Raw genomic sequence first — 14,600 nt, forward strand, 5'->3', positions numbered from 1 at the left:
GGAGAAGCTGTCACACTCAGGGGAGTGAACACAAGTTTTCCATAATTCTATTTTTTTTCTTAAAAGCTCTAACTTTATCATTCACAACAAATACTGCCAGTTGTTTACCTTAAAGTAACAGATTCCCTTTGTTCATAAAAAAAAAAAAAAAAATGCCAAATATCTAAATGGTCTGAAAAAACCACAACCTGTCATTCTTTCAAACAAAAATAATACTCCCTGAAAAAAGTAGCCAGTTTAGCTCGTAACTCAATCACATAAGCATTTTTCCCTTGAGACAGCTATCGGACTTCACACCCTAGCACACAGCAGAAGTGCTTTATGTGTACTTCCCATTATATCATATGAGATTACTAAAAAGATGTGTTGCCAAAAGTCAAAATACAATAAAAATAACTTGTACTGCCTAACCAAGAACACTTTTAAGTGAAACTAGCTTTAAAAAAAAACAAAAACAAAAACAAACTGGCCAGGTGTGGTGGTTCACGCCTGTAATCCCAGCACTTTGGGAGGCCGAGAAACCTCCCAGGTGTAGATCACCTGAGGTCAGGAGTTAAAGACCAGACTGGCCAATATGGTGAAATCCTGTCTCTACTGAAAATACAAAAATTAGCCAGGCATGGTGGTGGGCGCCTGTAATCCCAGTTACTCAGGAGGCTGAGGCATGAGAATTGCTTGAACCTGGGAGGGGGAGGTTGCAGTGAGCCGAGATTATGCCATTGCATTCCAGCTTAGAAGACAAGTGTGAAATTCCGTCTCAAAAAAAAGAAAAGAAAAAATAAATAAATAAAACCCATCACTTGAGGCAAGGAGTTTGGGGCCACCCTGGGCAAGAAGAGACAACTCATCTTTACAAGAAGTGAAAAAACTATCTGGGCATGCTGGTGTGTGCCGGTAGTCCTAGCTGCTTGAGAGGCTGAGGCGGGAGGATCGCCTGAGCCTAGGAGTTATAGGTTGCAGTGAGTCATGATTGCGCCACTGCACTCTAGTCTGAGTGACAGAATGAGACCATCTCAAAAAAACAAACAAACAAAACCCACTGTGAGCACATGGTGAGAATTACACAATGACCATCAGTACAGCTTGGTACCACTGTTTTTTTCGTTTTTTTAAAAAAATCTCTATTTGAAGTTAGGTACTACTGTTCTGATTTGTGTTCAGGTGCTAACCAGTTTTAATTACCATTCCTTTTGCACCATCATTGTAAATGTCAATACAGTGAAAAAAAAAAAAAACAAAAAACGAAATGTTTTAGTGTTTCTGCAAACTTGGTTTTGTCCTTGTAGGTCCTCTGAAAGGATCTTGAGGATCCCCAGGGGTCTAGAGACCACATTTTCAGAACACTGCTCTAGGATGACAGCATGACTGAAATAAACCTAGAGTTGTAAAGGCCTCAGACATGAACAAATCTAAGCCCTCTCAGTTCAAAATAAGAGTAGACTGGGCTGGGCACAGTGGCTCATGCCTGTAATCCCAGCACTTTGGGAGGTCGAGGCGGGCGGATCACTTGAGGTCAGGAATTCCAGACCAGCCTGGCCAACATGGTGAAACCCTGTCTCTAAAATAGTACAAAAATTAACTGGGCATGATGGCACGCATCTGTAGTCCCGGAACTTTGGGAGGCTGAGGTGGGCAGATCACTTGAGCCCAGGAATTCAAGTCCAGCCTGGGCAATCTGGCGAAACCCCATCACTACAAAAGATACAAAAATGGCTCAGCCCAAAATCTCCTTAAGCTGATAAGCAACTTCAGCAAAGTCTCAGGATACAAAATCAATGTGCAAAAACCACAAGCATTCTTATACACCAATAACAGACAAACAGAGAGCCAAATCATGAGTGAACTCCCATTCACAATTGCTTCAAAGAGAATAAAATACCTAGGAATCCAACTTACAAGGGATGTGAAGAACCTCTTCAAGGAGAACTACAAACCACTGCTCAACGAAATAAAAGAGGACACAAACAAATGGAAGAACATTCCATGATCATGGATAGGAAGAATCATATTGTGAAAATGGCCATACTGCCCAAGGTAATTTAGAGATTCAATGCCATCCTCATCAAGCTACCAATGACTGTCTTCACAGAATTGGAAAAAACTACTTTAAAGTTCATATGAAACCAAAAAAGAGCCTGCATTGCCAAGTCGATCCTAAGCAAAAAGAACAAAGCTGGAGGCGTCACGCTGCCTGACTTCAAACTATACTACAAGGCTACAGTAACCAAAACAGCATGGTACTGGAACCAAAACAGAGATAGAGACAAATGGAACAGAACAGAGGCCTCAAAAATAATACCACACATCTACAACCATCTGATCTTTGACAAACCTGACAAAAACAAGAAATGGGGAAAGGATTCCCTATTTAATAAATGGTGCTCGGAAAACTGGCTAGGCATATGTAGAAAGCTGAAACTGGATCCCTTCCTTACACCTTATACAAAAATTAATTCAAGATGGATTAAAGACTTAAATGTTAGACCTAAAACCATAAAAACCCTAGAAGAAAACCTAGGCAATACCATTCAGGACACAGGCATGGGCAAGGACTTCATGTCTAAAACACCAAAAGCAATGGCAACAAAAGCCAAAATTGACAAATGGGATCTAATTAAACTAAAGAGCTTCTGCACAGCAAAAGAAACTACCATCAGAGTGAACAGGCAACCTACAGAATGGGAGAACATTTTTGCAATCTACTCATCTGACAAAGGGCTAATATCTAGAATCTACAAAGAAATCAAACTTACAAGAAAAAAACCAACAACCCCATCAAAAAGTAGGCAAAGGATATGAACAGACACTTCTCAAAAGAAGACATTTATGCAGCCAACAGACACATGAAAAAATGCTCATCATCATCATCACTGGCCATCAGAGAAATGCAAATCAAAACCACAATGAGATACCATCTCACACCAGTTAGAATGGCGATCATTAAAAAGTCAGGAAACAACAGGTGCTGGAGAGGATGTAGAGAAACAGGAACGCTTTTACACTGTTGGTGGGACTGTAAACTAGTTCAACCATTGTGGAAGACAGTGTGGCAATTCCTCAAGGATCTAGAACTAGAAATACCAGTTGACCCAGCCATCCCATTACTGAGTATATACCCAAAGGATTATAGATCATGCTAGTATAAAGACACATGCACACGTATGTTTAATGCAGCACTGTTCACAAGAGCAAAGACTTGGAACCAACCCAAATGTCCATCAATGATAGACTGGATTAAGAAAATGTGGCACATATACACCATGGAATACTATGCAGCCATAAAAAAGGATGAGTTCATGTCCTTTGTAGGGACATGGATGAAGCTGGAAACCATCATTCTCAGCAAACTATTGCAAGGACAAAAAAACCAAACACTGCATGTTCTCACTCATAGGTGGGAATTGAACAATGAGAACACTTGGACACAGGAAGGGGAACATCACACACTGGGGGCCTGTCGTGGGGTGGGGGGAGGGGGGAGGGAAAGCATTAGGAGATATACCTAACGTAAATGACGAGTTAATGGGTGCAGCACACCAACATGGCACATGTATACATATGTAACAAACCTGCACGTTGTGCACTTGTACCCTAGAACTTAAAGTATAATTAAAAAGAGTGGAAAAAAAAACCTAAAAAAAAAAAAAGAAAAAATCTAAGTAATGCTAAAAAAAAAAAGATACAAAAATGGGTTGGGCATAGTGGTGTGTGCCTGTGGTCCCATCTACCTGGGAGGCTGAGGTGGGAGGATGGCTTGAACCCAGGAGGTTGAGGCTGCAGTGAGCCAAGATAGCGCCACTACACTCCAGCCTAGGCGACACAGCAAGACCCTGTCTCAAAAAATAAAGGAGCAGAATGAAGCCTAGAGATGTCTATTGAGGAATGTTTATACTCATATTTTAGAATCAACCAGTTAAAAACACATTTATTGAATAATTACTAGGCTAGACATATCAGAGGATAAAAATGTCACTGGCTCAACTGAGCTCCAGGGAAATGACTCAGATCAGATCAGAGCCTACGATCCCTACCCCTAGTCTTTTCTTGACCCTATTATCCCCTCCCTTTCCTCAGAAAGACAGTCTACCCAAAGACCTATTTAGGCTTGAAATATCTCAAATCTGGAAACCAAATTAACCCTAGAACTAATTCACACGGGCCCAGGTCTATTTCTGGCCCACATCAGGCCAGATCTGGGCCAGAACTAAACTGTTCACCAAGAGTATAGGGAAAAATGGCATTTCTTGAAGAAAAGTTTCAAATCAGAATTTGATTTCCTAATTGTCTATATTTAATCTACCTATGGCGAAACCAAGGCCCAGGAACATTAACTAATTTGTCAAAGGTGACATGATAAAATGATCATAGGGCAAGGAATAGTCGCCACCAGGGTTCCAAGCCAGATTAACACTAATATTACCAGTTCAGGTCTATACTGTGTTGAGACTTCATTTATAAAGTCTTGTTTTCAATTTCTGATCACCACTTACATGTGAAAGCAAAGCAGAGAGTCAAAAAACAATTGTTGAATGCTGAATAAGATAAGCATTTTTAGCTTTAAAATTAAAATGTGAGCTTAATTTTAAAATTATAGACCAGGCAAATATCACAGAACGCAAATATTTTGGCTCCGAGAACTAAAAAAAGAAATTTTTTTTTGAGACAAAGTCTGTTGCTGAGGCTGGAGAGCAATGGTGTGATCATAGCTCACTGCAGCCTCAACCTCCTGGGCTCAAGCGATCCTCTCACCTCAGCCTCCAGAGCAGCTGGAATTATAAGCACGTGCCACCACATCCAGCTAATTTTTTGTAGACAGGGTGTTGCCATGTTGCCCAGGCTGGCCTCGAACTCCTGGCCTCAATCATTCCTCCTACTTCAGTCTCCCAAAGTGCTGGGATTATAGGCATGAGCCACTTCACAGGCCATGAGAATTAAAAATTTAAAACATTAAAACAAAGATCAACAATGTACTGCTCCAGGGCCTAACTGAGGCCTTTGCATGTTTTTGTAAATAAAGTTTTATTGGAACATAGCCATACCTATTCATTACATATTGCCTACAGCTGCTTTCATGTTACAAAGGCAGAGTTAAGTAGTAACAACACTGCAAAGCCTAAAATATTTATTCTTTGGACCTTTTCAGAACAAGTTTGCTGACCCTGATTTAGAGGACAGTTGAAAAACTTAGAAATGAAATAAATTATCTATTTTGTTCTCTGGTTTCTTTTCTTACCCTGCTGCAGAAACTGACCAGGATATCTTCTCTTTCCCGAGTGCACTAGTAAGGTGCTTTTTCCCCCAGTGTTACCCTTGCTCCAGGTTCCACAAGAGAGCTCTATTTATCTTAAGCTATCTCTTAAGCTATTTACCAGAGAAATATATATTATATTGAAGGGTATGAAATTAACTGCAGATTTCTGTAGAGTGGCTCCAGGGCATAATACCTAAACACATCTATTCTCCATAAAGAGAGCACAGAAACGAAAACAAGGAAGGGCAGTGAGGTACTTTCTGCCCCAATAAAAAACACTCTTTAACAGAATACATTTCAAATACTTTAGTTATTACTCTACATTACTGACAGTCACATTTGATTAGAACTTTAGTTTTCACAGTTTCTTCGAGCCTATTATTGCATCCACCCCAACAACTTTGTGGGGCAGAGAGTTTATAGAAAACTGATGTTGGAAAGAACTTGCTCACGGTCACGCAGCCAGGGGGAAGTGCACATGAAGGCAAACCCTGGTCCTCTCTTCTTGTTCTACCCCTCATAAGCCAACAAGATATTTTAAATCGATGTTGCCTAATTTTTTTTCCTACCACCACACCATATATACAGGAAGCTTATGCCCATTAGTAGTATTTCTTATTATTGGTAGTGAGTCTCAAAGAAAAGAGGAGGAAAACAACCACCTCCTCTTTTCTTAGAGACTCACTACCAGTAATAAGTAATTCAGTAATAAGTAAACCAGCAATTCATCCTCACCTCCCAAATGCAGGTAGGGCAATACAATTTGGAGGAGAAAAACCCTAGGCATTCTCAAGTCTTCTCCCCATTTTCCCACCGTGCTCCCTCTAACCTTCAATCTCTCTTTTAATGGTCCAGGAATAACTGATTTCACAGTTGTATACTAGCTGACTATTAAAACTTATTTTTTTGCATGAGCAATGTGCACTTACCAACGTCCTTCCGAATCCTATAGAGAAGAAGATGTCCTTGTTTGGTTCCCACAAGAAGCCATTCCTCTGGAAAAACAAAACAAAACAAAAACAAAAACAAAAAAAAACCAGCTTTGAGAAAGGTCAATCAGCTTGAGTATAACCCTATTTTTTTAGCTGGGGCTTGTAATCAGAAATCAATGTGTCAAGAAAATGAGTTGCTTTTGATAGGAGGTGTTTTGCAAAGCTAAGAAATGTTTATACTCATGTTTGAAAATCAACCATTTAAAAACACATTTATTGAATAATTACTAGGCTAGACATATCAGAGGATAAAAATGTCCTGGCTCAATTGTTTTAATGTTAAACTAATAAAAAAGATAGAAGGGCTTTGTATTTTTAAGATTAAATTATTATGATTTTTATTTTTTGTTATATATACTTTTATTAAGATATATATCTTCAGATATATATTTTTAAATTCTGCTAAAAAGAATATGATGAAAGTTTATAAAATCACAAAATGGAAGTACAAATGTGAAACCAGGTATCCAACCTCAGCAATAATAGCTAAGAGGCATCCTTTAAATGCTTTTACTTTCAGGAAAATAAATGACGTAACATAATAAGCTTACAGAATTCATTATCTCAAAAGATAGTCTAGTAGAAAATATTTAATAACAAGTGTTGATGAGAATATAAAGAAATTAGAATCCTCATACACTGCTGGCAGGAATGTAAAATGGGAGAGCCACTTTGGAAAAGTCTAGCAGCTCCTCAAAAGGCTAAACAGAGTTACCCTGGGACCCAGCAATTCCACTCCTGGTTACACACCCAACAGAAATGAAAACATATTCTACACAAAAACTTGTACACAAATGTTCACAGCAGTATTATCTGTAATAGCTAAAAGATGGAAACAAACCAAATGTCCACCAACTGATGAACGGATAAACAAAATGTGGCATGTCTATATAACGGAATATTAGCTAACAATGAAAAGAAAGGAAGTATGGATATATGCTACAACACAGATGAACCTAAAAACATGATGCTAACTGAAGGAAGCCAGACAAAAGGCCACGTGATTCCATTTATATGAAATGTCCAGAGTAGGCAAATCCACAGAGGTAGAAAGATTAGCGGTTGCCCAGGGCTGGTGGGCTTGGGGGAAAATAGAAAGTAAATACTAATGGGTACTGAGTTTCTTCTGAAAGTGATGAATATGTTCTAAAATTTATTGTGCTGATAGTTGCATAACTCTGTGAATGTACTAAAAACCATTTAATTGTACACTTTTTTTTAACTTTTATTTTTTTAAGATAGGGTTCTACTCTGTTGCCCAGGCTAGAGAGCAGTGGTGTGATCATGGCTCATTGCAGCCTCCACCTCCCTAGCTCAAGTGATCCTCCCACCTCAGCCTCCTGAGTGGCGAGAAATACAGGCATGCACCACCACGTTCAGCTATTTTTTAAAAAATGTTTATAGAGATGAGGGCTCACAATATTGCCCAATCTGGTCTCCAACTCTTGACCGCAAGCAATGCCCCTTCAGCTTCCCAAAGTGTTGGGATTACAGGGGTGAGCGACTGTGCCCAGCCAAATTGTACATTTTAAAAGATGGTCTAGGCTAGTGGTTCTTAAACTTTAGTGTATCACAATTATTTGAGAGTTTGTTAAAATACAGAATGCTAGGCTCTACCCCGGAGCATCTGATTTAGTAGGTTTAAAAGTAGGCCCAGGAATTTTCATTTCTAACAACTTCCCAGATGATGCTGATGCTGGTGGTTCAAGGACCACATTTTGGGAGGCACTGGTCTAGGTAAAAAGAGGCTCAGAAAGAGTTTAAATAATTACCCTGACAGACCCATATTACATCATTCAAGGAAGGTAAGCATGTACAGATACTTCCTTAGCTTTTTGATAACATAAAGGTCACTCATTCCTTTCATAAACTCTCTTGATTCTTGACCTCTGTAAAATAAAATCTTGGATAATGGTACAAATAGATAACTTTTATTGAGCATGTATTGTGTTCCAGGAAATGCTAAACGCATCTGTTATTTCACTAATCCTCACAACTATCCCTTGAAGTAAGTCCTTTTTTCAAATCCCCATTTTATAGATGAGGAAGTTGAGGCCTAGGGAATATATAACTTTTCCAGAGTCACACATGTGGCAAGCAGCAGAGTTGGGATCCCAACCCCAATTTGTCTTGATTCCCAACCACATGCTGTGATGTACTTACTAAGGCACCCATGTCAAAAAAAATGGGTGTCAGCCAAAGGTTGTCTGAATGGCAGTAGTTATATTTATAAAAACAGGTCAGCACCTACATTCCTTATCCAAAGGATCAATAGTATTTCTCCAGGATGATGTTCTTAGTCATCCAGAAAAACAGAGTGATTCTATTTTCTTTGATTTGGGGTCTTAAAGGAAAGGCAGGTCACACACAAAAAAAATGTTGAAATCAGAAATAACAGCAGCTCTAATGAAGGCTGGAGATTTATGCTGCAGCAGAACATGAAAAAATAAAAGAATTCATTTTGCAATATTTGTTTTGTAAAAGATACTATATTTAGAACTTTATAGATATCATGATATCAAGCAATTTAGCAATATTAAAGTTGATTTTTAGGCCACCCACTGATATTTCAGATATAAATAAAATGAAGTGGAAATTTTTTAAAAATCCACTCATAACATACATAAAAATCTACAACCAAAACAAAAGGCCAACATAATGTTCATCATCTTCCCCATCCTTCTCTCTCCACTCTGTCCCCCAAATCCCTGCCAGTTCCTGCTTTTCTTTATCTTTTTTAATAGCCTCAGCTTCCTCCCAAGTCGGCCAGGGTCTATCAATTCTACCTGTAATGGTACCTCATGACAGCCTCCTCCTATAGAGTCTCTCTGGGGACCCCTGTGACACCTTCAACTGGTCTCATTCACTCCATGCATTCTCTCGCATTTGCTGTCAGTTATCTTAGAGCAGATCTCTGATGCTGTCACACTGGGGCTTAAAAAATCCTGTGAAGCTACACTACCAAAATATGAAGTCAAATTCCTAAACATGACATTCAAGAGTCTATTTTCCATTTTTATTGAAATGTTTCTTGCCAATAGATTTTTTAATTTACTTTTTTTTTTTCTTGTGAACCCAAACTAAGACATGACAAAACATTTTAAAAAGTCAAATGTCTAGGGGCCGGGCACGGAGGCCGAAGTGGGCGAATCACTGGAGGTCAGGAGTTTGAGACTAGCCTGGCCAACATGGTGAAACCCCGTCTCTACTAAAAAATATAAAAATTAGGCCGAGTGTGGTTGGCTCATGCCTGTAATCCCAGCACTTTGGAAGGCCAAGGCGGGCAGATCACCTGAGGTCAGGAGTTCAAGACCAGTCTGGCCAACACAGTGGAAACCCATCTCTACTAAAAATACAAAAAAAATTAGCCAGGCATGGTGGTGTGTGTGCCTGTAATCCCAGCTACTCAGGAGACTGAGGCAAGAGAACTGCATGAACCCCGGAGGGAGAGGCTGCAGTGAGCTGAGATCGTACCACTGCACTCCAGCCTGGGTGACGGGGCAGGACTCTGTCTCAAAAAAAAAAAAAAAATTAGCCAGGTGTGCTGGTGAGCACCTGTAATCCCAGGTACTAGGGAGGCTGAGACAGGAGAACCACTTGAACACTGGCGGCGGAGGTTGCAGTGAGTGGAGATTGTGCGCCATTGCACTCCAGCCTGGGTGACAAGTGTGAAATTCTGCCTCCAAAAAAAAAATTAATTAAAAAAATAAAATGTCTATTCTACTGGTCATAAAAGGGAATCAATCCGATGGATTAAATTCTCTGTAAACTTTTAAATCAACCTGATTGATTACATGTGCCATTAGCCAGAGGACCTGTCCCATGTTGGGTCCTCCACTCTCTAGGACACGTTATTTAACAAAGCTGTGCATGCACAACACAGAGGATGACAAGCCTGCAGAGCACGCGCAGCATGGGATGGACAGTGCCTTCTGAGACTCAATACAGTAACACACAACAGAAAGTGAGACATACTAAGCAAACACAAAACGCACACATAAGCAAAGCAGTATCAGCCCTAAAAAACTCCTGACGGCCTAACCCTGAGCCACAAGGTTGGACTTAATTCCTCCTGAGAAGGAGGGCTAGGCCCTATTGCTCATAATTACCCTAATGGAGCTCCTTCCAACAGTGCAATGCAGTCCAACTTCATGTAATAAATTCCATTTCTGGCCCAATGCTGGCCACTGCAGGGACCACAAAGATAAGTAAGATAGTAGTCACTTCCCTTCGTTGGGTAACATGGCAAATAACAGTACTTCTCATCTGGGCATAAGCCCCCAATTAGCTGCATTAGAATCACCTGGACTTATTAAAAATGCACATTCCTGGGCCCTGCACATGGAGATTCAGATTCAATGGCTTTGAAGTGGTACCCTGAAATTTACATTTTAAAATTTAATCTTGTTGGCTGGGCAAAGTGGCTCACGCCTGTAATCCCAGCACTTTGGGAGGCCGAGGTGGGCGGATCACCTCAGGTCAGGCGTTTGAGACCAGCCTGGCCAACATGACGAAACCCCGTCTCTACTAAAACTACAAAAATAAGCCAGGTATGGTGGTGGGTGGCAGTAATCCTAACTACTCGGGAGGCTGAGGCACGACAGTGGCTTGTACCTGGGAGGCAGAGGTTGCAGTGAGCTGAGATTGCACCACTGCACTTCAGCCTGGGCGACAGAGCGAGACTCAGTCTCAAAAAATAATAATGAAATAAAATAAAATAAAATAAAATTAAATTAAATTTTATTTGTTTTTATGAAACATTCATGTAGTTCCAAAGCTAAAACGACGAAAAGTCTAGTTTCTATCATTGTCCATTTTATCCTCTCTTCTCCCTTCTGCTATGGGCATCATTTTAGTAATTTTTGACTTATCTTTCCATTGTTTCTCTGGAAAATATAGGTATGTATGTATATATAGACATACAGATACTCATATATACATGTGAAGTCTGCATTTTTTACAGGCTTTGAATATACATTCAAGTTTGAGAACCAGGCTCTAGAAGCAGACATGATTTACAGGACATGTGACCTTGGAAAAATTTCTTAAATTTTCTAAGCCTTAGGTCTTTCTTCTGTAAAATGGAGTCTTATTTTATAAAAGCCTAATACAGATTAGCATTTAACAACTGCAAGCTATTACTATTCATATTAACATTATTCATTAAATATATATTTAATGAATACCCATTGAGTCAGGAAATGTTTTAGGTACTGCAGATATAGCAATGCAGAAAACAAAGATACTGCCCTGAGGGAACTTATATTCTAATGTGGAGTGAGAGAGGCAATAATAATTAAATATATAAAATAACAGTAGATGGTGACCCATGATTAGAAGATAAGGCTAAGAAAACAGCACATTGGTGGATGTGGCAATCTCTTTTATATAGGATACACAGGGAAGGTTTTGCTGATTTGGGTGACATTTCAGCAGAGAACTGAGTGAAATGAGGAATGAACCATATATACAAAGGCAAGTGAGTGCCAGGCCAAGGAAACAGCAAATGTAAAGGCCCTGAGGTGGGTATGTGCTTTGTGCATTGATGGAACAAAGAAGGCTGTGTGGGACTGGTACCAGAAAGGAGTGAGAGGTAAGTACACAGAAGACAGGGAAGAAATCAGGGCCTGATCATGTCAGATGTTGCCAGACAGGGTGAAAACTTTGGAACTTATTCTAGTTGTGATGTGATACCATGAGAGGGTTTTGAGTAGAGGATGGAATCAGATTTAGGTTTTCAAAGTTTCACTCTACCTGGTAGACAAAAAACTGAAAATGGCACACTGGCAAATATAGGGTGATCAATGAGAAGACTACTACAGTAATTCAGGTGACAGATGATGGTGCCTTCAAGAGTAGTAATCATCAAGATAGAGAGAAATGACTGGATTTCAGATTTATTCTAGGGGTAGAACACACAAGATTTGCTGATAGATGGGATACAGTGTAAAACAGAATGAAAGAAGTCAAGAACGATTCCAAAGCTTTTGGCTTTAGTCAAAGAGGTAAATAGAAATGCCACTTGCTGAGACGTAAGATACAGGAGGACAGGCATGTTTGAGGGGAGAGGAATCAAGAACGGTTTTGGCTATGCTACTGGACATCCAAATGAAGATGCTGAAAAGGCAGCAGGATTATACAACTTTGGAGTTTAGAAAGAAATCATCCTCATCATGTTCTCTCCTGATTTCTATTTCCCAGGAGACAGAGTATGTTGTCTCTAAGACATTTACACCTCAAATACTATTTGGCCCTGTGTGACCTGCCTCTGGAAGTTCCTGGACGAACTTTCCATCCAAAGGCACAATGTAGTTAAAAAGGGGTAATGACTAGAAAGAGCAATAATTACTGCTGCTCAAATCTGGAAATAAAGCACTTTTGAAGCAGGAGGCAGTTAATGGCCTCTTGTAACCTAATATGTACCTAAGCACCTTAGGAACCAAAGAGCATTTCTCCTGTTCGGTGGGTGATCAAGGAAGGCCAAAAGCTACCTATTGTTTCAAAACTGTGTTCCTGAAAACCACAGGTGCAAGGAATCTTTACTGTGACAAAGTGGAGTTGGTGAGAGTCTAGGAGCACTATGTGCTAATGGTCCAACAGGAGATCAGAGTCAAGGATTCTGACGAGCTAAGTCAAGTGTAGCCACAGCTGCATTAATCCCTTTCAGAAACATATGTCCTTAGCTGAGTTGGGTACCCCCTCATCCATGTTGCAATAATAGGCAGCATATGTCTCTAGTATTATAATCTGTTCACGTGTATTTGTCCCCCAGTGTGTGTCCTAGGAGCACAGGCACTGTTTCTTATTCATCATTGTATTACTGTCCCAAGCAAAGAGAATGGCCCGTGTAGCCACCTAATAAGTATATCTGATGAAGCAATGGGGGAATTAATCCTTTCATGCAGTGTCAGGTCTTTCATTTAAAAACTTTTTCTCCTCCTCTATTTAAATGTTTAATGAGAGCATTTAATGACAGAAATTGGTTTTCTTGAGATGTCTGGAGGAAGTAGGATTCTCCTCTTAACCCAAAGGACTAGAACTGCTTACTGTGGAGGTATGATTTTAAAGAGACCCAGAGCTGCTAAAGGAGGAAGGGTGCACATTAACATGAAAATTCTTCGTGAAAGAACCCTACAGAAGAAGTCATCAAGAACTCTGCAAGGATGACTCGGTGACACTGTGAACAGCTGACGCACATGGTATCAGACACCACCAAGATTCCATAAGGCCCATCATGGTTACCTATCTAGCTCAGTATAAGATCTGATTAAGGGATCTGAATCATCTTTTTATGGTCCTTGATTTCTAGGACCTAAACATTAAGAGGAAAGTTAGAAATGATTTCCTTGGTCTTTGGCGGCTGGTATCAAACCAGTCACTCACGGATAAGAGCACAATGTTCACCGTTATCCCTGAAACCTTCATTTGTATTTCAGAGCACACAAGAGATGTCTGTCCCGGCCTTCTGCACTAGTCAATCCCAAAAGGACTATGCTAGTTTTTATGGGTTAGGTTTCAAGACAGTCTGGAAACTCTTCCGCCTACAGTTAGGTAACTTGGACACTTTGGATATAAGGTAATCAACCGCTTGGCTAGATTCAAAGGTTAGCTAACTACATGAGTTCCCTACAGGAATGAGAAATGAACGAATGATCACTAAGGGGAAAAAAAAGCATATGGTGTTAACTTGTTCAATGCCCCCAAAACCAGGGTTGACTTTCATCTAGAAAACAACACAAACATCTGGACAACTTCAAGCCCCTGGCAGGCTGAGAACTTCTTACTGCTTTGACCCTCTAAAATGAAGTCTTCGTGGGAATCAAAATGGGCCAAAGCTGAGCACAACTAAAAAGGAAAGCTCATCCTCCCACTCTGCACAGAGAGCAAAAGCAAGGGGAACTCCCCTAAATGACTGGATCACTGGGATCACCCAAGTAGCCCCACAGACATCGATGTCTATAGCCGGTGGTCATCTCTCTGCCTTCTCTCATCCTAAGCCCCTCTCGTGTAGCATCCAACCGAAGCCCACACGGATGGACGCCTGTCCACTTCCCCGGCCTCAGAAAAGATCCGGACCGCTCCTGTGCTGACTCCGCCTCGGCCCCGCGGCCCCTCGGCTCACCCCAGGCAGCCAGACAGTCGATTTGCAGAGGCAGCTTTTCTAGGATCGGCACTGGCTCGAAAGCGTCGTGCATGGCGGCAAGGGGAGAGTTGCCACCGCCGTCTCGCCCAGAGTGTTCCGGGCCGGGCTGGGGTCCGGAACGAGTCTGGGCTAAGGGTAGACCGGGATCCGGCCAGGAACCCCCCGGCTACAGGCCCTTCAACAACACAGCCATCGTCAACCCCGGACTTCCTGC

General features: G+C 40.7%; 1 protein-coding gene and 1 non-coding gene across 6 annotated transcripts in view; both read right to left on the reverse strand.

Annotated features, from left to right (window-relative positions):
• Nucleotides 1-14,589, reverse strand: part of VPS39 (VPS39 subunit of HOPS complex) — a 49,604-nt gene extending 35,015 nt beyond the window's left edge. For all 5 annotated transcript variants that reach the window (NM_015289.5, XM_011521404.3, NM_001301138.3 and 2 more), the window contains exons 1-2: nt 14,366-14,589; nt 6,181-6,246 (exon numbers count right to left, since the gene is read on the reverse strand). In NM_015289.5, the coding sequence (NP_056104.2) occupies nt 6,181-6,246; nt 14,366-14,438 (139 nt within the window). In that variant the 5' untranslated portion in view covers nt 14,439-14,589. The remainder of the gene's footprint in view (nt 1-6,180; nt 6,247-14,365) is intronic.
• On the reverse strand, nt 5,855-5,951 carry MIR627 (microRNA 627). Its single transcript, NR_030357.1, has one exon. It is a non-coding gene; the product is annotated as a microRNA 627 (primary transcript).
• Nucleotides 14,590-14,600: the final 11 nt, after the last annotated feature.

Source organism: Homo sapiens, chromosome 15 (genome assembly GCF_000001405.40).
Source record: "Homo sapiens chromosome 15, GRCh38.p14 Primary Assembly".
NCBI classification, from domain to species: Eukaryota; Metazoa; Chordata; class Mammalia; order Primates; family Hominidae; genus Homo; species Homo sapiens.